Genomic DNA, 22,543 nt, shown 5'->3' with positions numbered 1-22,543 from the left:
GGTAGGGGGAGGTACCATGCACTGCAGCTTGGCCCCAGGGGACATCTTCCCTGCCCCACGCATCCAATAGATGACCCCAGCTGAGGCCCACGCAGCCAATACCTGACTTCAGCCGAGACCCACGCAGCCAATGGCCAGCCCAGTGCGCTTCGCCCGTGCCCGCCCGCCTGCGCCTACCAATCAGGACTCGGGCCACCTTGGCACCGCCTCTGGACGCCCACCCCACCCATCCGCCCCGCCTCCAACTTGCTCGAGCAGGGCTGGGTAGACCGGCGCGCTCCCGGGGACGGTGGGGGGGGCAGTCCCGGTTTCGGCCATCGCTGGGGTGGGCTCGGAGCGGCCGCACCGGGCAGCAACCCCACTCCCACTCGGAGGCCCCCTGCCCTCTCCCCCACTTCCCCCCGGCCCATGGTGCGAGGCTGGGAGCCGCCGCCCGGGCTGGACTGCGGTGAGTGATCCCCAGCCCCTTGGACTTCCCCTCCCAGCTCGTGTACGGTCTCCCACCTCTGGAGCCCCATCCCCGCGCTGGTGGGGGGATAATTCTAGGTTCGAAGTGGCCCGGTTCTCTCTTTTTTCTCCTCTGGACTTTTCGGTTCCCTCCCCTGTTGTAACTAGGGGAGGGTGAGTGTCTGTGTAGGGGAGGGCAAGAAGGTTGGGTTGGGGCGCCCTTGGCGAGAGTAGGATTGAGATTCGCCTGCCTCATGGGGCTTATCGTCCCAAGTGCAATAACTTTTTGTTCCCTGACCCAGTTCGGAGCCTTCTGGACTGCCTGTGAAATGGAGGATAGGAGAAACATTTCCTTCCCAGGCCCCCCCGCCACACAAACCCCCAACCCCCACGGCTACCTCCTGGCGACCTCAACACACGTGCAGAACCTGGCCTTGCTTCTGGGGATCAGTGGCCTTTGGGAATGAAAGGTTTAGAAGAAACTGCCCCTCTGACTCCCGTACCCAGCCATACTAAGAGAACCAACCAGGAAACTGAGAACCTGAGTCCTCTGGGGTTCCTAGTGTTGCGTCCTATTCTGAGACTCCTAAACTGAAAGAAGACTCAAGCTGAGACCTGTTTGGTAATGTGGGCCCCTATCAGGAGATTTTTTTTTTTTTTGTCATGTGAACCTCCTTCCCATCATACACTTGAAGCCCTTTTATATTACATGATTCGGTTAGTTGGTAGTAATTGAAAAAGCCAGATTGGGAATTTTAAAGATAATGCATACATATCTTAAACATTATAATTAAAAGTATATCCATTTCACCAATCTTTTGATGTAGTGGTGAGACTGTTTTTGTGTCTAAGACTGCTGTTCAGAGTTCCCAATTCTCTTTCCAGTATTAACTACACAGGGAGTCTCAAACCTGGCTGTACCCTGAGAACTTTTAAAAACTTTGGATGCCTGGACCCCAGTACAGACTATTGAACCTGAATGGGAAGGAGGGTGGCCTGGTTTTTAAGCTTCCCAGGTAATTCTAGTGTGCAGTCTGAGAGCCACTCAGGCACTTTCATCATCTTTGGTTTCCCGTTTTGCTTTATTTAAAGTGAAGTATGAATTTAGACACTTCTGAGTGCAGAGTACTTTTGAGATTAAGTCCCACCGCTCAATCTTTTACAGTTGTCTTGCTCACTCCCAACTCAACAATTTTTAAAATGCATACTCTTCCTTGCGTTATGTCTCTCCAAAACATTTGACTTAGTTTTCATAGGAGCAATTTTTTAAAAATCAGTATTCCTGAAGAAACAATTTTTAATGCAGTGATTTTTCATAGGTTTAACATGAGGTTTAATTACATTATTATATAGACACTGAAAAATATGGACATAAGCAGGTTTGTAATCACACAAAACTGGCCCCAGGACACAGGACAACTGAATGAAGCAGATGATTTTGGCGCACTAGTAGCAGCCTACTTAGCCTTTAGTTTCCAGTGTACTGTGGGTATTGGTCATGTAATCCAGTGGCTCAGTTAAGCCAGGCTCCTGGCCCAGTTGAGCATCCCTCCCTTCCACTCTTTCCAACTAATATCACAAATACTTTGTCCCTTCTAGACGCACTTGAATTCTTGAGTATTCCATCAACTCTTTACGTTCATTCACATCAAACTGTTCATCTTTAAGTGATTATCACTATTGCCTTTGTTAAGTTGGAAGGATATGAGGCAGTAAGCCTTAACCTGGCTTCTTGGCAGCAACTAAAGCCCCTGAGTTTATTGTGTAAGTGTGAATGTTTATTTTGGGAAGGTTAGTCATAACTTTCTGAGGGTCTGTAACTTTTGTCTGATTCTCAAAGAGGTTCATGAACTAAAAAGTTAAGAAGCATATAAGCTGAATATCACTATAAGTCTTTAAGGCCCTTAAAACTGTATCCCCAAACACATTTCAGGAGTGCTTCAGATTGTCTCTAAATAAAGATTTAGGGAATTCTAAAGGATCATATCTCATCTCCCACTTTTATTTATTTATTTATTTGAGACAGAGTCTCACTCTGTCCCCCAGGCTGGAGTACAGTGACGTGATCTTGGCTCACTGCAACGTCCGCCCCCCAGGTTCAAGCGATTCTCTTGCCTCAGCCTTCCCAGTAGCTGGGACTACAGGCGCATGCCACCATGCCCGGCTAATTTTTGTATTTTTGGTAGAGACGGGGTTTCACCATGTTAGCCAGGCTGGTCTCGAACTCCTGACCTCAAGTGATCCTCCCGCCTCGGCCTCCCAAAGTGCTGGGACTACAGGCGTGAGCCATTAGACCCAGCCTCGCCTCCCACTTTAACTGTCTCCTACTTTAACGATAAGCCTAGGTTCAAACCTAAAGTTCTAGAGTCCTCTTTTTCCTAGGACTGTGTAAACACAGAAACTGGAAGTTTAAGACAGTCCGTTCTTGTCTTCCATCTGTCCAGGGATATGGAAAGCCCAAGGGGAAAGAAGGGTGTTATACTGTCTCAGAGAGAGAGAGAGAATTTTTTTTTCAATTTTTAAAATTTATATATTTATTTGTAGAGGCGAGGTCTCGCTATGTTGCCCAGGCTAGTCTTGAATTCCTGAGCTCAAGTGATCCTCCTGCCTCCCAAAGTGCTGGGAATACGGGCATGAGCCACTGCACCCAGCCATGACTCCATATATTTTTATTAGTGATTTTTAAGTAGCAATGGGACATATCTGGCATATTTAATAAGGATACAAATTTAGAAGTTGTTCAGAATAGATATTCACCACCACCACCACCACTACCTCCTCTGCGCTAGGACTCCTCACTTCAGCTTTTGATTCTCTTCTTTTTCTACTCAATCCAAAATGGACACACAAGAACACAAGATACTCTAGTGTCTTTATTATGATTTTGATTACTATAGGGTCTACCCTACCTGTTATAATTCTCATGAGCCATTCTGGTTGTGGTTTTCTCTTAGTTCAAAGCCAGATTCTTCCAGGGAAGTACCAGCTATACAGCTGTGCCTTGATTTAAGCCACCATTCTGTTTCAGGAAGTGTTCCATAACTGGTGTTTTGTGTAAGTGAAAACTGAATGCATATAGTACACCAAATATGTTGTTTGCAGTACTGTATGTTACACTGAAATATCAAGCTGATGCCGAGAATGTGAAGGACATCAAGCCACCTAAACGAAAGTAAAATGCTTCCTTACAGCTTTTAATACTTATAAATGTGCCTGCCTTATATTCCCATCTGGCAGTATTCATCCTCACACTGGACTGCTTTGTTCCTTATGCTTTATTTTCCTTATCTCTAAAGTGTTATTGTGTCTTTATATAATAGGACACAAATGAGGTTAAGTAGACGTCAAGCATTGCCATCATAAAGTGTTCTCCAGCTTGGATTTGGTGGTGTTCTCGGTGGGCCACAATTTGTAAATGGTAGTTTAGCACCTGGCCATGCAAGCAGTGCCTCCCAGGCCATTTCAGCTGTGTCCTGGATGAACCTGGAAGGCGAAAGGTGGAACTATCACATAGGCAACTGACACACCGATCACAAAGGATCCAAATTATGGATGCAGTTCTAAAGCACTGGTTTTCATACATTTTTTTAAGTGGCAAATACATTCTGAAATTGTATTTAAACCCCAAAATGTAAAAGTATAGAATCACAGATACACTGGTTTCCTCATCGCTAACTAGAATTAGGGCTCTGCAAAAATAGATTGAAAACAGTGAATGTTAAATGATTCAGTCTTTGTCCCAGTTACCCCATTGTCTAGGAGGAGCATTACTTCACATCAAAATCACCTCCATGAAGTTGAAGTCATGATAAAAGCTGCTATTTATTGAGCCCTTACTTTGTTCTAGTTATAATGTCAAGTGCACTTTTTCATTTAGTCATAAACTTGCTGGGTAGGTGCTTTTTTGCTTTTTTCTTCTCTTTTTGAGACAGGGTCTCTGTCACCCAGGCTGTGGTGCAGTGCACAATCTCGACTCACTGCAACCTCCACCTCCCAGGCTCAAGCAATCCTCCCACCTCAGCCTCCCGAGTAGCTAGGACTACAGTTGCGCCACCATGCCCAGCTAATATTTTGTATTATTATTATTATTATTATTATTATTATTATTATTATTTGTAGAGACAGTTTCACCATGTTGCCCAGGCTGGCCTCAAACTCCTGGGCTCAAACCATCTGCCCACCTTGGCCTCCCAAGGTGTTGGCATTACAGGCATGAGCCACTGCGCTCGGCCCAAGGTGCTTTTTTTCTCATGAGAAACTAAGACTTAGAGAAGTTAAATAACTGCCTGAGGACAAGCAGCATTCTAGGAAGTGGAGTTGCATTAATTTGTCTCACCCCGGACATCCATCCCCTAACATTTGCTCTATGCCCTGCCTATGCATAACACCTAGCACGTAGTACTCTTACGTACTCTCTGCACTGTCTTCACTTTGTTACATAGGAGGAAACCAGGCTCATGTAAGTTAAGTAACTTGCCTGAGATCACATAGCTGATAAGTGGCAGAACCGGGATTCAAACTCAGAGGTTGGCCTTATTGAAGAATTCATATTTCTACCCGTCATGCCATGCTGCCTCCATTGACCCTCTTAAGGGGCTCTTCAAGCAGTATTGCTTTCAGGGTCTGCGTGGCCTCAGTTAGTTAGATTTGCTTGTTAAAAGGAAATGGTGACACGTATTAAAATGCTTCTGAATTTTAAAAATCATGGTGTAAAATCCCTGCGATCACATTGCTCTAAATGTATGGACTTGAGGTTTATTTTTGCAATTCATCGTGTAGCATTTACATAGGAATCCTGTCCTGTCCTTAGCAGATCAGGAGTAATACTTAAAAACACAGATAGAAGGCTGGGCCCGGTGTTTCACGCCTGAAATCCCAGCACTTTGGGAGGCTGAGGCAGGCAGATGACGAGGTCAGGAGATCAAGACCATCCTGGCCAACATGGTGAAATCCTGTCTCTACTAAAATACAAAAAAGCCAGGTGTGGTGGCGTGCGCCTGTAGTCCTAGCTACTCAGGAGGCTGAGGCAAGGGAATCACTTGAACCCAGGAGGCGGAGGTTGCAGTGAGCCAAGATCGTGCCACTGCACTCCAGCCTGGCGACAGAGCAAGACTCCGTCTCCAAATAAAATAAAATAAAATAAAATAAAATAAAATAAAATAAAATAAAATAATAAAATAAAATAAAATAAAATAAAATAAAAATAAAAATATAAAAATAAAAATAAAATATAACAGATGTGATTCCCCTAAGAGTAAAGGGTGATGGATGTGTTAAAGGGTCTCTAGTGCCCACACAGGGAGCTGAGTTAAAAATTGTCAACAGAATATTCTGGGAAATAACTTGAGCAGTTATTTCAGGAAAGCAGCACAGTCAAAGGCTATTCCTGCAGTCCCCATACCCATAATCCTGGGAGCAGTGGTGCTGCTGGGTAGCTTGCAGGAGCTGGTTACAATTTATAATGAGCCTGTCCACCTGGTCTTGAGGAGAAAGCTGGGCTGAAAAGTTAAGCTCAGGAGACCTTCTGCCCTGTGTGGAGGGGGCTGTTAGTGACTGAGGGAGCTTTCTGGGCTCCCTGGGGAGAAGCTGAGCTGTTGGAAGAGACAAAGGCTGGGGGAGGGGATAACCTTTGTTCCAAGGCTGACTTGGAGGAGGAAACATTCCCCTCTCTATTTTCACATGACCTAAAGGGTTAGGGGAGTGAGCCTCATTTATCCCCAATCTCTGACCCATGTCTCTCATCCAACCAAGAGATGGAAAAAATAAAGCTATCAGGTTTGGGCTTAGGGCTTAAAGGTACTGTCAGTCGCCTTCCCCCAACACTCCACCACCAAGAAGGGAAAGAAAAAAGGGGGGCTGGGCAGAGGACAGTGCTGTCCTACCTTCCAGATATTCATCAGTTGTATTCCCAATCTGTTGATCCACATTCTAAATATAAATTGTTAGCAGCCAAAGAGTTAGTAACAAGCCAGGAACAATGTTGTGCACCTGTAGTTCTAACTACTCAGGAGGTTGAGGCAGGAGGGTCACTTGATCCCAGGAATTCGAGGCTGTAGTGCATTATGATTGCACCTATGCATAGCACGCCAGCCTGGGCAACATAACGAGAACTTGTCTCTAAAAAAAAATAGTGGCCAGGCGCGGTGGCTCATGCCTGTAATCCCAGCACTTTGGGAGGCCAAGGCAGGTGGATCACCTGAGGTCAGGAGTTCGAGACCAGCCTGGCCAACATAGCATTAGATATGAGTTCTAAATTTCTCTTCAAAGAATCAATATGTCAGTATGTTCAATTCTTTGCCTTCTACTTTTAAACTTAACTTCCTTGTAAAGCAACCTTTTTCGATCACCTGCTCCACCCTGACTCATTCCGATTACCTGCTCTGCCCTGACTCATTCTCCACCCTGACTCCTTCCGATTTCCTGCTCTGCCATAACCATTTTCCCCACCAAACCACTCACCCGGTCACTCTCTTTAAATTAGCCAATCGGAATTAGTTTAGCCTGTGCGGTCTAACCCTAGCCAATATGGGAATGACAGCGGCAGGGGCCACCTGTGTCAGGAATAAGAACTTCTTCCCCTCTTTTGTCCAGGTGTGTGCTCACCACTGCTCCATCTATGAGGGCGCACCCTTCTATAGAAGTAAATTGCCCTACTGAGAAGAAAAAAAAAAGAAAATTTTATATTCGATTGCTATTTCTTTTGTGGCACCGAAACTTTATTTATAACAATAGTGAAACTTCGTCTCTACTAAAAGTACAAAAATTAGCTGGGCATCATGGTGCACGCTTGTAATTCCAGCTACTCAGGAGGCTGAGGCAGGAGAATCACTTGAACCCGGGAGGTGGAGGTTGCAGTGAGCCAAGATCACGCCACTGCACTCCAGCCTGGGTGACAGAAAGACTCTGTCTCAAAAAAAAAAATAGTTATTAACAATTCTGGCCAGGCGCCGTGGCTCACGCCTGTAATCCCAGCACTTTGGGAGGCCGAGGCCGGTGGATCACTTGAGGTCAGGAGTTCGGGACCAGCCTGGTTAACATGGTAAAACCTCGTCTCTACTAAAAATACAAAATGTAGCAGGGCATGGTGGCACACGCCTGTAGTCCCAGCTATTCAGGAGGCTGAGGCACAAGAATCACTTGAACCCAGGAGGCGGAGGCTGCAGTAAGCTGAGATCATGCCACTCTACTCCAGTCTAGGCAACAGAGCAAGATCCTGCTCAAAAACAAACAAACAAACAAACAATTCTGAGGGCCGGGTACAGTGGCTCACTCCAGTAATCTCAGCAGTTTGGGAGGCTGAGGTGGGAGGATCACTTGAGGCTAGGAGTTTGAGACCAGCCTAGGCCACATAGTGAGACCCTGTCTACAAAAAATTTTAAAATTAGCCGGATATGGCTGCATGTACCTGTAGTCCTAGCTACTTGGGAGGCTGAGGTGGGAGGATTGCTTGAGCCTAAGAGTTCAAAGCTGCAATGAGCCATGATCATGCCACTGCACTCCAGCCTAGGCAACAGAGTGAGACCCTGTCTCTTGAAAAAACAAAAACAAAAATGCACACACACACAAACCAGTTGAAATTATTGCTCCTCTTGTTTTTGTGGTTGAGTCTTCACTATGTGATTCTTGTTCCATGAATTTAGAAGGTGAGAGTTGGTGGATAGCTTCTAGAAGTGGGTTTGAATAGGAAAGATAAAGGCTGTATCAGAGCTATGATGGTGCCACTGCACTCCAGCCTGGGTGGCCTGGGTGACAGAGCAATATTATCTCTTTAAAAAAAAACAACCCACCAGCTGGGTGTGGTGACTCATGCCTGTAATTCCAGCTTTGGGAGGCCAGAGGCAGGTGGATCACGAGGTCAGGAGTTCAAGACCAGCCTGGCCAAGACGGTGAAACCCCATCTCTACTAAAAATACAAAAAGTAGCCGGGCGTGGTGGCGGGCACCTGTAATCCCAGCTACTCGGGAGGCTGAGGTAGAGAATTGCTTGAACCTGGGAGGTGGAGGTTGCAGTGAGCCAAGATCATGCCACTGCACTCCAGCCTGGGCGAGAGAGTGAGACTCCATCTCAAAACACACGCACACACACACAGACACACACATACACACTAAAAAAAGCTATATCAGGATCAGTTTTCCTTCTTAACTTCTAAAGACAGATTTTTTTTTTTTTTGATAGGGTCTCACTCTATCACCCAGGCTGGAGTGCAGTGGTGCAATCATAGCTCACTGCAGCCTCAACCTCTCAGGCTCAAGCAGTCCTCCTGCCTCAGCCTCCCAAGTAGTTGGGACGACAGGCACGAACCACCATGCCCAGCTGATTTTTAAATTTTTTGTAGTCTCACTGTGTTGCCCAGGCTGGTATCAAAGCTCTGGGCTCAAGCAATCCTCCCACCTCGGCCTCCCGAAGTGCTGGGATTACAGGCATGAGCCACCATGGCTGGCTTTAAAGACAGATTTTTTTCTTGGAACAACACTCACCAGTCATGTGGCTTGGGGTAATTTAACGTCTATGGACTTTGGTCCACAGAAAATGGGAATTAAAGCAGGGTCTGATGACTTAAGTTTATGAAAATTAAATAAGAAATTGTTGAGGCACTTAAAAAGCAATACAACATGATACAAATACAGATTAAATTGTTCTGGTGTCCAGCAGTTAGTTTGGTAGAAATTGAGCAGTGTGTCAGAAGAGGAGACCCAGTGATTGAGCTGTTTGTCTTCTTATTGCAGCTATCTCTGAAGGGCACAAATCAGAAGGCACCATGCCTCCTAATAAAGAGGCCAGCGGTCTCAGTAGTTCACCAGCGGGGCTCATCTGCCTCCCTCCAATCTCTGAGGAGCTACAGCTTGTGTGGACGCAAGCAGCCCAGACCAGTGAGCTAGACAGCAATGAACACCTGCTCAAAACCTTCAGCTACTTTCCCTATCCCAGCCTAGCAGACATTGCCCTTCTCTGCCTACGTTATGGGTTGCAGATGGAGAAAGTCAAGACTTGGTTTATGGCCCAGCGCCTCCGCTGTGGTATTAGCTGGTCATCTGAAGAAATAGAAGAGACTCGAGCCCGAGTAGTCTACCGTCGGGACCAACTCCATTTCAAATCCCTTCTCTCTTTTACTCATCATGCGGGACGGCCCCCAGAGGAGGTGCCTCCTCCTCCAGTGCCAGCTCCAGAGCAAGTTGGTATTGGAATAGGTCCTCCAACTCTTAGCAAGCCTACCCAGACGAAAGGATTGAAGGTAGAGCCTGAGGAGCCCTCTCAGATGCCACCACTGCCACAGAGTCACCAGAAATTAAAGGAGTCCCTGATGACACCTGGCAGTGGAGCATTCCCCTACCAATCAGATTTTTGGCAACATCTTCAAAGCAGTGGCCTCTCAAAGGAGCAGGCAGGCAGGGGTCCCAACCAGTCACATGGCATAGGTACTGCTTCCTGGAACCACTCCACAACCGTCCCCCAGCCACAAGCTCGGGATAAACCCCCACCAATTGCATTAATTGCCAGTAGTTGTAAGGAGGAGTCAGCATCTAGTGTTACTCCCTCTTCTTCCTCTACCTCTTCTTCTTTCCAGGTACTGGCTAATGGAGCTACTGCCGCCTCTAAACCCCTCCAGCCACTAGGCTGTGTCCCACAGTCAGTGTCACCCAGTGAACAGGCATTACCCCCACATCTGGAACCAGCCTGGCCCCAAGGGCTACGGCATAACTCAGTACCAGGTAGAGTTGGCCCCACAGAGTACCTTTCCCCAGATATGCAACGCCAGCGAAAGACCAAGCGCAAAACCAAAGAGCAGCTGGCTATCCTTAAATCCTTTTTTTTACAGTGCCAGTGGGCACGGCGTGAGGATTACCAAAAGTTAGAACAGATCACTGGTTTACCTCGGCCTGAGATCATTCAGTGGTTTGGTGACACACGCTATGCCTTGAAGCATGGGCAACTAAAGTGGTTTCGGGACAACGCAGTACCTGGTGCCCCTAGTTTCCAAGACCCAGCAATTCCTACACCACCACCATCAACCCGCTCCTTGAACGAAAGGGCTGAGACACCACCTCTGCCGATCCCTCCACCCCCACCGGATATACAACCCTTGGAGAGGTACTGGGCAGCCCACCAACAGCTACGGGAAACTGATATCCCTCAATTGAGTCAGGCATCAAGGCTTAGCACCCAGCAGGTGCTGGATTGGTTTGACTCTCGATTACCTCAGCCAGCTGAGGTGGTAGTTTGTCTAGATGAAGAAGAGGAAGAGGAGGAGGAAGAACTGCCAGAAGATGATGAGGAAGAGGAGGAGGAGGAGGAGGAAGATGATGATGATGATGATGATGATGTGATCATACAAGACTGAGTGGGGAGCTGGGGGAGGGGAGGTCTGTTACTGAAAGATGAACCAACTTAGTAACTGTTTAAACAAAGAAACCACATTTTTAAAATTACCTTGTGGCAGAGAACTAAAAAGCTTTGTGTTCTTCAGGGTGGGTGGCAGGGGGATATAGTGAGGGTGGACCAGGGAGAATGACCATAGGGCACTAAGTAAGGCTGGGATTGGATCAGCAGAAATCCAACCCTCTAACCTTAGGGTAGGGAGTGCTAAGGATCTGGGGAAACCATGGGCTGGGAAGCTGCTCTTGCTCTCCTCGTGTCTGCTGTTTTTTTCCCTTGGTGTACTATACAGAGGCCAGATGTTGGCACCACCTCTCCAGGAGGATTGGAAAGGAGGAGTAAAGGATTCTGATTTGATTGATGATTCCAGTGCATCCCCAATCCCACCATCTTACCTGGAATATAAGGCTGCCTTGTACCCCTTTTCTGAGCACAAGTCTGTGCGTAATGCAACTGACTCTCTTACTTTTTTCTTAGTAACTGATCATTTCCTAGACAACCAAGATTCTCAATAAGTCCCAGTCTCATCACAAATATTAATATTTCCTTTTCCTCATACCAACTTGACTATGTTTCACCCGCTTCATGACTAAATCACAGGTGGCAGAATTTTTCAGTTCTTTTTTTTTTTTTTGAGGTGGAGTCTTGCTCTGTCGCCCAGGCTGTAGTGCAATGGCGCAATCTCAGCTCACTGCAAGCTCCGCCTCCCAGGTTCATGCCATTCTCCTGCCTCAGCCTCCCGAGTAGCTGGGACTACAGGCACCTGCCACCACACCCGGCTACTTTTTTATATTTTTAGTAGAGACGGGTTTCATCATGTTAGCCAGGATGGTCTTGATCTCCTGACCTCATGATCCGCCCACCTTGGCCTCCCAAAGTGCTGGGATTATAGGCATGAGCCACCGTGCCCGGCTATTTTCAGTTCTTATGCTGTGACCACTTTGCCTTGTAGCTTTTTCTATCTTTCCAAAATCCTCACTCTGTTCATTGTTTGTCTCAGGGAAAATCTTCCCCCACCGAGCTTGTAAAAAACTTTAATAATTGGGTGGAGAATAATTTAGAATGGATATTTATTGGAGGTGGTAATTAGGGAAGATGTCCTTTTAAACAGTAGAATTGTGTTACAAAGGGGTGAAAGAGAGGGAATAGTTTCTCCTTGTTGAAGGGCAGTGAAGGTAGGTTTCAGGTTTGGTTTTACAAACCTGTTAACTACCTCCTGTCCAGCTTGACAGAGACTAATTTTTCATCTTTTTGCTGTCAATTTGTTTCCAGAAAAGAGACTTTTCCCTCTCTTGATAGGATCTGTCTTAGGGACAGAGGGACCATCGTCTTTAAGTGAATTAATTATTGATGTTTTAGAATGGTTTTCATCAGTTGGGATCAGCTATATGGCAAATAGGTATCATCAATGAGTTAACCATCTAAAAATAAAAGAGTGGAAGCCCTAAAATGCTAGAATAATAATAAAAAGGCCAAAAATAAAATTGTTTCTCTCTCAACCACTTTGCCACTCCTATGGTTTAGGGATTAATGGAACCAAATCCATTAACATTCTAACTCAGCATACTTTTAACTTATTGTTTGGAGGGGCAGGACTTATTGAGGTAAATTAAAAGAACAAAAACTGTAAAAAGGAAGTAGTTCAGCATCTATCGCCAGCCAGGTTGTTTCTCAGCCATCAAATGATAATGACTAAAATTTCTGAGGCTTCAGGAGTAACAGAGATACAACAGTCTTGGAGGTAACTCCATTTGCTACAGGACAGGCCCTTGCCTAAAAGAGAAGGTATCTAGAAATGCCTTTAAAATAAATTCAGAGTACCAGAAAGGGTATGGGGATCCTAGTTCAGATACAAGATCATTCCCAAGACCTAATTTATTTCTGGCAGATGCCTGCTATTTTCTGTTTTTCCAGTATTTTTGCTTAAGGCCAGCTTGTGAGTGGCTAACCTATTTAATTCGTCATTTCTGCCTTTTAAAACCCAAAGTAGAATACATGTTTGATCTCAGTGATAGTGTTGTTCGCCCATTCCACCATTCTAGAGCTTGTAAAAGTGATAGAATTGTAGCAATAAAAGGGCATCGTCTTTATTTTACTATCTATATACTAAGCTGAAAATCAGTGTCTCCAACAGTTGTTTTCAATAGAAAGGAAAATTAACATTTAATAGTAACTAAGCATAGAGGAAATAATAGACAAATAAAAAAGTATAATAAGGAAAAGAACAGAGATATTGCTCGTTAACATTGGCAATGGGACAGTATATCCAAAGCTAAAAATGAAATCCAGAAATGAAACAGTGATGAGTATATGATCCATCACAATCCCCATTCCCAACTCCCAACCAAGCATGATGCCAAGAATTATTTTTTTGACCTTTGTTCCAAATTGTAGGAAATGAGGGGAGCTACCAGTGTCTTCTGGAAGAGATATAAACATCTTCCTGAAGCACTAGCCTTTTGTAAGACCTGACCACTGTCCTGGGAGGTGATAAGGGTGAATAGGGTAAAGATGGGGGGAGCATAAGGTACAGAGTGAAACTAGGAAACAATGCAGGGATACATTTTCCAGGGCCATCACCCCTAATGCGTACTGGAAGCTACAGTCCATCCTTCAGCAGCATGTATAGATCAGATCTTGAAGATGATCTATCTAGAAGTGGTCCATGCTTCTCTCCCACTGGGTAATCCCATATGCCTCCGTTGTTGGTAGAGAGTCTGCAGCAGAGGACAAGAAGGTAGATGTGGGTGTTTATAACAGCAAAAAGGGCAAGCAAGTCTCTCTGACCTGTTGTATGAAGCTTATCGAGACAGACACCACTGCTTTTGCTTCCCCATAGTTTTCTTCATTGCATGATAACTAACTTTTCCAAACTAGGATTTGCTACATCTAGTGTGACAATCTCTGGAACATTTCAGTAGCTTATGGTGATAATAATAAGGATGAATATTTGAAAATTAAACTATTTTGGAAAATCTGGGACATATGACTACCACACCCAGAGATGACTACCAGGGAGGCAGAGTTCTTAGGCCTCTGAGGAGGTGGCATTTCCTTCAATAACTTTAAAATTTTTTCACATTTTCGGTTGTTTGTTTGTTTGTTTGTTTGTTGTTTTTTTGAGATGGAGTCTCGCTCTGTCACCCAGGCTGGAGTGCAGTGGTGCATCTCCGCTTACTGCAAGCTCCGCCTCCCGGGTTCACGCCATTCTCCTGCCTCAGCCTCCCACGTAGCTGGGACTACAGGCGCCCGCCACCATGCCCGGCTAATTTTTTGTACTTTTTTTAGTATAGACGGGGTTTCACCATGTTAGCCAGGATGGTCTCGATCTCCTGACCTCATAATCCGCCCGCCTCGGCCTCCCAAAGTGCTGGGATTACAGGCATGAGCCACCACGCCTGGCCCACATTTTCAAAAAATACATAGAATAGTATAATGAACTCATGTGCCCATTGTCCATCTTTAACAAATAATTAATGGCCAATCTTTTATTTCTACTCTCCCAGTGTCCCTCCCTACTAAATTACACTGATGCAAACGCCAGACATCATTTGACTTTCCATCCATAAATACTTTAGTATGTACCTATAAAAGAGAAAGGCTATTTTTAAAAACATAACTACGATATCATCATACCAAAAAACTCTCCAATGTTAACAATTATTTAATATCAAATGTCCAATAGATAATTTTGTTCAACTGTCTCATGAATTGTTTTATTTATTTTTTTTACAGCTTGTTTCAGTCAAGATCCAATTAGGGGCCATATATTTGTAGACGGTTTATAGAGCTTTTAAGTCTTTTTTCATCTTAGGTTAATCCCTCCATTTGAGGATTTTAGGGAGGAATGTTACTTCCCCAGTGTTGCCTCTTAAGGCTTAGACCCTAATTTCTTACTGATGAAAATAAAGGGCATCTTGGAATATGGGAGCAAAATATATACTTATCTTAGTATGAAGGAACTGTGCCTAGGGACACCAGGAGCTTGGAGTGAAAAAGGAGCCTAAATATGCTCAAAACCCAAGCCATTAAAAAAAACAAACAAAAAAAGGCAAGACTGGACTTTTATTTTTTTCTTTCTTTTTCTTTTTTTTTTTGAGATGGAGTCTCACTCTGCTGCCCAGGCTGGAGTGCAGTGGCGCAATCTCGGCTCACTGCAAGCTCCGCCTCCTGGGTTCAAGCAATTCTCCTGTCTCAGCCTCTCATGTAGCTGAGATTACAGGCACCCGCCACCACACCTGGCTAATTTTTGTATTTTCAGTAGAGAGAGACGGGGTTTTACCATATTGGTCAGGCTGGTCTCTAACTCCTGACCTCAGGTTATCCACCTGCCTCGGCCTCCCAAAGTGCTGGGATTACTGGCATGTACCACCGCCCCCGGTGACTTTTCATTTAATAGAACTCTTTACAAACCTCTCCTTGTTACCATGCCCTTTACCTTTTGTTGCTGGAATCAGAATCATAGTCCCATAAATTTATAAAATATTATTCTAGCGGTCTCTGGAGAAGTAAATGTGGTTTTTCCTAGTTCAAGTAGTACCCCTACCCAAAAGATGTATTTCATAGAAAATACTTTCTTGTGGAACTACTGAAGATGTCCATGTGTCCACACTTACTTCACGCTGGCCAAGACCTCTCAGTTTAAAGCCTCCCACTACCATGTGACCTCATTTTAAAACCCCAAACCAGGAAGCTAATCTAACAGTAGGATAAAATCTGAAATTGAGACCATTCTGGAAGATTGTGAACATATAGTTACCAGAGTTGAAACCCATGTCGTTCTTCACTGGTTATATTCCACTACCCTGAGGCATTTAGTGTGCAGGCCTAACCATGTGAGATTTTATGCACAGACAAGTTAGACTAGCCAGGTCTCACCTGCAGGACTGGTAGCTGGAAACTAGGAAGACTCTCTAGTGTAGTTGTGCTCTCCCTCTGAGCTGAAGGATAGAATGGAACAGTGAAAGATAACTTACTTGGGCAGTTTCTCGGCAGTGTTACTTGTGGGTCAGGGTAATGAGGTAGTTCTTAAAGGAACACTACTCAGAAGGGAAACACAATCAGCAATTTAAGAGATGGGATATAAAGTCTGTTCTTTTCCTGTGAGGACCAGGTACTGGCAGAGAGGTCTGAGATTTAACTATGAGTGGGAAAATAGCCAATATAAATATTTAGGTGAGCTATGGAAGATGGCAGCCTCTTAGCAAGAGGACTGGTGGTACCACCTTTACTGAAAAAGATGGGGAGAAGAATGGATATTGGCCTTATAATCCTCAGAACTGAGCGCCCAGCATTTTCAATATAGGGACTTTTGAGAAGCCAGTTTAATCCTATAGGCCAACCTTCTGGCTAAATAGTAGGACTCGACTGGTGACAGGATGAGTGCTAACCAGGCAAAATCCAGAGTTTCCCTTCACTCTGAAGAAAATGGGATGGCTCTTAAAGAATATTAAGGAGCCAACTAGAGACAATGCTCTTTGGGGGGCAAACCTCAACATCTTGTCATCTTGAAAATCTTCATTTTAGTATATGTGTCTATAGTTGAAGCTCCATTCCTTTGGAAATGTTATTTAACTTACCAAAATTGTTGGGGGTGAGGACTCTTGTGTGGCCTGAATGCCCATTTGGGGATGGTCTGAAAGAAAAAATCCCCTGTCCAGAGGAGGCAGATGAAGTTCTAAGGAAAGCAAATAAAAGCATCAGCAGAGAAAAGGACAGGTAAAGGTAAAAATAAAAAGCATATGTAATGGAAGAGCCTATACAGCTAGGCCAGAGAGGAAAAAATTCCCTGCTTGCAACTGATGATAATTTTTTCTTTTTTTTTTTTTGAGACAGGGTCTCACTCTGTTGCCCAGGTTGGAGTGCAGTAGTATGATCATGGCTCACTGCAGCCTTGACTTCCTAAACTCAAGTGATCCTCCTGTCTTAGTCTCCCAAGTAGCTGGGACCACAAGCATACACCCACCAAGCCCGGGTAATTAGGTCTCACTTTGTTGCTCAGCCTGGTCTCCAACACCTGGGCTTAAGCAATCCTCCCACCTTAGCCTCCCGAAGTGCTAGGATTACAGGTGGGAGCCACTACCGGGCCAAAATACAGTAATTTGGATGTATATTAAACACAGTGCTATCCAGCTTTCTTTTTTGCTTATAAGGCACATTGTAAACTTCGGTGGTACAAGCCAGTGGAGAAGTAATCCCAGGACTGCTGGCAGAGTTTTGTTTTTTTGTTTGTTTTTTGAGACGGAGTCTCACTCTGTCACCCAGGCTGGAGGGCAGTGACACCATGTCAGCTCACTGCAACCTCCGCCTCCTGGATTCAGCAATTCTCCTGCCTCAACCTCCCGAGTAGCTGGGATTACAGGCACGTGACACCGCTCCCGGCTAATTTTTTATTTTTAGTAGAGACAGGGTTTCGCCATGTTGGCCATACTGGTCTCAAACTCCTGACCTCAAGTGATCCACCCTCCTCGGCCTCCCAAAGTGCTGGGATTACAGGCGTGAGCCACCGCACCCAGCCTGCTGGCAGAGTTTAAGTATGAACACATCCCAAGAAAAAGGAAGCATAGTGTTACTGACCTATAAGATAGGCTATGAGTTGAAGCCGGTGAAGGGGTTTCTGGAAAGCATAAAAATAAGCCTGTGAGATAATCCATGAACTGGAGAAGAGATTCAGGTATACTTGGGGCCAGGGCAAAGGAAATGGAGATAAAAGATTTTTAGTATATGGGTTAGGGTTGGGGGCTAATGCCAAGTGAAAAAGCTCACAAATCACATAGCAGTATCTCTTATAGGTGCTTTCCTCTCCCTTTCATGAGTCTGTGGGCTGAGATCCCTCACTGCCTTCATGTGCTCTCATGTATCTGTGCCTTGGTTTCCCCTCTAAGATGGAAATCACCAGAAAGAATGGGTAAAGACAAAAATTAGCTAGGAGTGACATCAACAAAAATTAGCTAGGAGTGACATCAACAAAAATGGCAGAGCAAAGACCTCCAAAAATTTCCTCCTCCATAAAAGCAATGAGAAAATTGGCATAATGGTCAGAATCAACTTTTTCAGAAATCTGAAAATTAACAAAGGGCTTGTAGTAATCTGGAGAATGTTTATTCAAGAAAAATAGCAAAATGTTAGTAAAAACAGCAAGGTTTGTGGCATTTTAACTTGCTCTATTGCCATTTCTCCTTCTCCACCTCCATGATAGCCTTGAAAACCAACAGGGCATGCTCATGATGAAACCCAACAGTCTGGCAGTCACTAGAGGGGATGGAACAGGGTTGGAGCTTTTTGAAGGATTCATTCCCAGAGAACTGTCATTATTTGACCTGTCTAGTGGTTCCCTGGAAGACCCCACTTTCAAGGTTGTCTTAATTTGACAGCACCAGGACTTGGAGCTCAAGTTCACCAGGACTTGGAGCTCAGAGCTTACCAAGTGCAGAAAAACCTTTCTCCAGTCTGATGAAAACAATTAGAAGCACTTGTTTGGCTGCCTAAGGAGATAAATATCAGCTGGGACAAACAAAAGGCTAACCAAAAAGCATGACATATAGAAAACAAATAACAAAATGCAGAAGTCAGTCCTTCCTTATCTGTAATTACATTAAATGTAAATGAATTAAAAGGCAGAAACTGGCAGAACAGATGAAAGAAAAAACAAGTCCAACTATGCACAGTCTACAAGATACTCACTTTGGATTCAAAGATGCATATAGGTTGAAAGGAGAAGGATGAAAAAATATATTCCATGCAAAAAACAAGGAACAAAAGAGTGGCTATACTAATATCAGACAAAATAGACTTTAAGACAAAATTGTTGGGCCAGGCACAGTGGCTCATGCCTGTAATCCTCAGCACTTTGGGAGGCCGAGGCAGGCAGATCACTTGAGGCCAGGAGTTCGAGACCAGCCTAGCCAACATGGTGAAACCTTGTCTCTACTAAAAATACAAAAATTAGCTAGGCGTGGTGGCACATGCCTATAATCCCAGCTACTAAAGAGGCTGAGGCACAAAAATCACTTGAAGCCAGGAGGAGGAGGTTGCAGTGAGCCAAGATTTTGCCACTGCACTCTAGCCAAGACGAGAGTGAGACTCTGTCCCAAAAAAAAAAAAATTGTTACAAGAGACAAAGGCATTAAATAATGATAAAGGGGTCCATTTATCAAGAAGAGAAACATTTATATGTGCATCTAACAATAGAGTCCTAAAATACATGAAGCAAAAACTGATAGAATTGAAGAGAAAATAAGACAATTTGACAATAATAGGGACTGGGCATGGTTGCTCATGCCTATAATCCCAGCACTTTGGGAGCTGAGGCAGGAGGATTGCTTGAGCCCAGGAGTTCGAGACCAGCCAGGGCAGAACAGGGAGACCTCGTCTCTACAAAGACATGAAAATTGAAATAAAAAAACTAGCCAGGCGTGGTGGTGCATGCCTTTTGTTCTAGCTACTCAGGAGGCTGAAGTGGGACTATCGCTTAAGCCTGGAAGGTGGAGGCTGCAGTGAGCCACAATTGTGCCACTACACTCCAGCATCAACAACAGCACGAGACTCTGTCTCAAAAAAACAAGAAAACAAAAAACCAAAAACCACAATAATAGTTGGTGACTTTAATACCCCACTTTCAATAACAGACAGAACAACTGGACAGAAGATCAGCAAGGAAAGGAAACAGAAGCATACTAATTGAACAACACGATATACTAGCTAAACCTAGCAGACTCTATAGAATACACCACCCAAAAAGAGTAGAATATACATTCTTTCCACATACACATGGAGCATTCTCCAGGATAGACCACATGTTAGGTCATAAATTTAAAAGGATTTAAATCAGGCCGGGTGTGGTGGCTCACGCCTGTAATCTCAGCACTTTGGGAGGATGAGGCAGGCAGATCACCTGAGGTCAGGAGTTTGAGACCAGCCTCAACATGGAGAAACCCCGTGTCTACTAAAAATACAAAATTAGCCGGGTGTGGTGGTGGTGCATGCCTGTAATCCCAGCTACTCGGGAGGCTGAGGCAGGAGAATTGCTTGAACCTGGGAGGCGGAGGTTGCGGTGAGCCGAGATTGCACCACTGCACTCCAGCCTGGGCAACAAGAAAGAAACACCATCTCAAAAAAAAAAAAAAAAAAAAAAAACATTTAAAAGGATTTAAATCACTGAAAGTCAAAATCAATAACAGTAGGAAATTTGGGAACTTCACACATATGTAGATATTGAACAACACATTGATAAACAACCAATGGGTCCAAAAAACAAAAATCACAAAGGACATTAGAAAATACTTTGGAATGGGATCAGCATGGGTATAATCCCAGCACTTTGGGAGGCTGAGGCGGGCAGATCACCTGAGGTAAGGAGTTGGAGACCAGCCTGGCCAACATGGTGAAACCCCGTCGCTACTAAAAATACAAAAATTTGCCAAGCATGGTGGCACGTGCCTGTAGTCCCAGCTACTTGGGAGGCTGAACCTGGGAGGCGAAGGTGGCAGTGAGCTGAGATGGCACCACTGCACTCCAGTCTGGGCAACAGAGTGAGACCCCATCTCAAAAAAAAACACAAATGAACAAACAACCTTTGGAATGAATGTAAACAAAACACAGCATGCCAAATGTTATAGGATGCAGTAAAAGCAGTGCTACAGTGAAATTTATGACTGGAAACATCAATAGTAAAAAAGATCTCAAATCAATAATCGAAACTTCCACCTTAGGAAACTAGAAAAAGAACTAAATCCAAAATAATGAGAAGGAAGGAAATAGACTAAACCAGAAGTAAATGAAACAGATAATAGAAGAAGTAATACAGACTCTCAACAAAACGAATTCTTTGAAATGATTGACAAAGAAAGAGGAAAAGACTCAAATTACTAAAATTAAGAATGAAAAAGAGAACACTGTTGTTACCAACCTGACAGAAATAAATTGGCTAGAACATCTATGTTTTTCAAAGGAGTGGGAGATTTCAAATGTGGGAGATTTAGAGGGAGACTATTTGGAGAATTAAAAAAAGAGATTTGGGAATTTCAAATTCTTTCTTGTGAAAGTCTTCTCTGATAGGTATTCTCTAGGTACTGGCTAATGCCCTTGAAAATGGTAACAACAGTAATAATTTTAAGGGGCTTTAGGTAAGAAATTAAGTAAGCAGACCCAAAATATTCCTTCACTGGAATATTTTTATGTTTAAAACACAGCAAAGAAGCCAGATACCCTTCAGGCCAACAATCAGCATCCTGTGAACCTTCTTTTTACACTTAGCTTGTAATGCCATCTTGTGGCAATTCAAAAAAATCCAAGTCAATTTTACTGAAAAGTTATCCTCCATCTCCTGACCAGAGGTTTTCAATGACTTTCTATCACTCAAATCTTTATTTTCCCCTTATTAGTTGGAAGACAAAAATATCATTATTTGAAAAACTTGTAGGCCGGGCACAGTGGCTCACGCCTGTAATCCCAACACTTTGGGAGGCCGAGGAAGGCGGATCACCTGAGGTCAGGAGTTCGAGATCAGCCTGGGCAACACGATGAAACCCCGTCTCTACTAAAAATACAGAATTAGCCAGGCGTGGTGGCACATGCCTGTAATCCTAGCTACTCGGGAGGCTGAGGCAGGAGAATCGCTTGAACATGGGAGGCGGAGGATGTGGTGAGCCGAGATCATGCCATTGCACTCCAGCCTGGGCAACAAGAGTAAATCTCCATCTCACCAAAAAAAAAAAAAAAAACCTTGTAATATATGTATGGATACATGGAATCACTGTCAGGAAAAAAAAACAAGTGAAATGGCATTATATTATGCATAGAAAACCAGAAATCCGCAGATCTTCGCATAGAGTAAGTTGATTTCTGACACCCTTTTCCCCCCACCTCACCATTATAAGAGTCTCTGGGAGTTCTCCTTCCCTGCAGACCTCTGCCTCCCTGATAGACAAATAATAAGCATCAATTAATAAATATATCTCAGTTATCTGGCTTCCCTATTCCCTATTTATCTATAGCTACACATTCAAGCATATATTGTTCTACTGCAGTGGGCATACTAGTCAAAGAAAGATCCATACTTTACTCCTTCCAAAATGAACACCATGGACACTGTTGATTGAGTCCTTAAACACTTTCACTATTTCCACCCCTATTTATTCTCTGTCAGTTTCTAATATCAGGTCTCCATTGCCAAAAGAAAATAGGGTCCAGTATGACATCAGATAATTTATGCCAAAACCAATATAAATTTAAGTTCTTGATAAACCTTTGCTTTCATTTAGCATTAGAAACTTCAATCTGGAAAGATAAGGTGAACATTACTTACTTGTCCCAAGCTACCAAAGCCAGCCTCTCTATAAGGAATAGATTCCGCTGAGGAGGACCGACTGTATAAGGTGAAACAAAAAGAAAAAAAAGGCAAAAAACCTAGTTTTACTTTTTATTGTTGTTGTTTTTTTGTTTTGGTTTTTTTCAGACAGAGTCTCACTCTGTTGCCCAGGCTAGAGCACAATGGCACAAGCTTAGCTCACTGCAGCCTCCGCATCCTGGGTTCAAGTGATTCTCATGCCTCAGCCTCCCAAGTAGCTAGGACTACAGGCGTGCACCACCATGCCCAGCTAAGTTTTGTATTTTTAGTAGAGACAGGGTTTCACCATGTTGGCCACACTGGTCTCGAACTCCTGACCTCAAATGATCCACTCGCCTCAGCCTCCCAAAGTGCTGGGATTACAGGCATAAGCTA

The 22,543-nt window shown here is 44.2% G+C and overlaps 2 protein-coding genes across 8 annotated transcripts in view, besides 3 other annotated features; one reads left to right on the top strand and one right to left on the bottom strand.

Annotated features, from left to right (window-relative positions):
• Positions 90-499: a silencer, noted in NCBI's record as "silent region_5602". NCBI's record gives its function as "represses an Ori minimal core promoter by ATAC-STARR-seq in GM12878 lymphoblastoid cells {active_cell/tissue: GM12878}" and the evidence as "EXISTENCE:reporter gene assay evidence [ECO:0000049][PMID:35858748]".
• HOMEZ (homeobox and leucine zipper encoding) lies at positions 229-13,939 on the top strand. Its single transcript, NM_020834.3, has 2 exons — positions 229-448; positions 9,174-13,939. Exons 1-2 carry the CDS (start codon positions 409-411, stop codon positions 10,784-10,786), a joined length of 1,653 nt encoding a protein of 550 aa, NP_065885.2. The 5' UTR covers positions 229-408; the 3' UTR covers positions 10,787-13,939.
• Positions 5,629-6,129: an enhancer, noted in NCBI's record as "OCT4-NANOG-H3K4me1 hESC enhancer chr14:23749441-23749941 (GRCh37/hg19 assembly coordinates)". NCBI's record gives its function as "activates a minimal SCP1, AML or CMV promoter by ChIP-STARR-seq in naive H9 embryonic stem cells {active_cell/tissue: H9 hESC(naive)}" and the evidence as "EXISTENCE:reporter gene assay evidence [ECO:0000049][PMID:30033119]".
• Positions 6,130-6,630: an enhancer, noted in NCBI's record as "OCT4-NANOG-H3K4me1 hESC enhancer chr14:23748940-23749440 (GRCh37/hg19 assembly coordinates)". NCBI's record gives its function as "activates a minimal SCP1, AML or CMV promoter by ChIP-STARR-seq in naive H9 embryonic stem cells {active_cell/tissue: H9 hESC(naive)}" and the evidence as "EXISTENCE:reporter gene assay evidence [ECO:0000049][PMID:30033119]".
• The window catches only part of RNF212B (ring finger protein 212B), an 88,142-nt gene continuing 78,482 nt past the window's right edge, over positions 12,884-22,543 (bottom strand). For 4 of the 7 annotated variants that reach the window (NM_001370218.3, NM_001282322.3, XM_011536328.3 and 1 more), the window contains 6 exons: positions 22,127-22,187; positions 21,690-21,738; positions 17,398-17,437; positions 16,401-16,498; positions 15,700-15,761; positions 12,884-13,538 (listed from right to left, as the gene is read on the bottom strand). In NM_001370218.3, coding sequence (NP_001357147.1) covers positions 13,470-13,538; positions 15,700-15,761; positions 16,401-16,498; positions 17,398-17,437; positions 21,690-21,738; positions 22,127-22,187 — 379 coding nt within the window. In that variant the 3' untranslated portion in view covers positions 12,884-13,469. The remainder of the gene's footprint in view (positions 13,539-15,699; positions 15,762-16,400; positions 16,499-17,397; positions 17,438-21,689; positions 21,739-22,126; positions 22,188-22,543) is intronic. The other 3 variants (XM_011536323.3, XM_011536327.3, XM_011536316.3) reach the window with 2 other exon arrangements.

This window comes from Homo sapiens, chromosome 14 (genome assembly GCF_000001405.40).
Source record: "Homo sapiens chromosome 14, GRCh38.p14 Primary Assembly".
Classification (NCBI taxonomy): Eukaryota; Metazoa; Chordata; class Mammalia; order Primates; family Hominidae; genus Homo; species Homo sapiens.
Note: the sequence above shows the minus strand (reverse complement) of the source record. Positions and strands in the feature narration are given on the sequence as shown.

What these genes read in the sequence shown, in the direction of transcription:
- HOMEZ (NM_020834.3), top strand. Translation starts at nt 409, where the DNA reads ATGGTGCGAGGCTGGGAGCCGCCGCCCGGGCTGGACTGCG. An exon ending in GCCGCCCGGGCTGGACTGCG is followed by an intron (nt 449 to 9,173) that starts GTGAGTGATCCC and finishes TTCTTATTGCAG; the next exon opens with CTATCTCTGAAGGGCACAAA.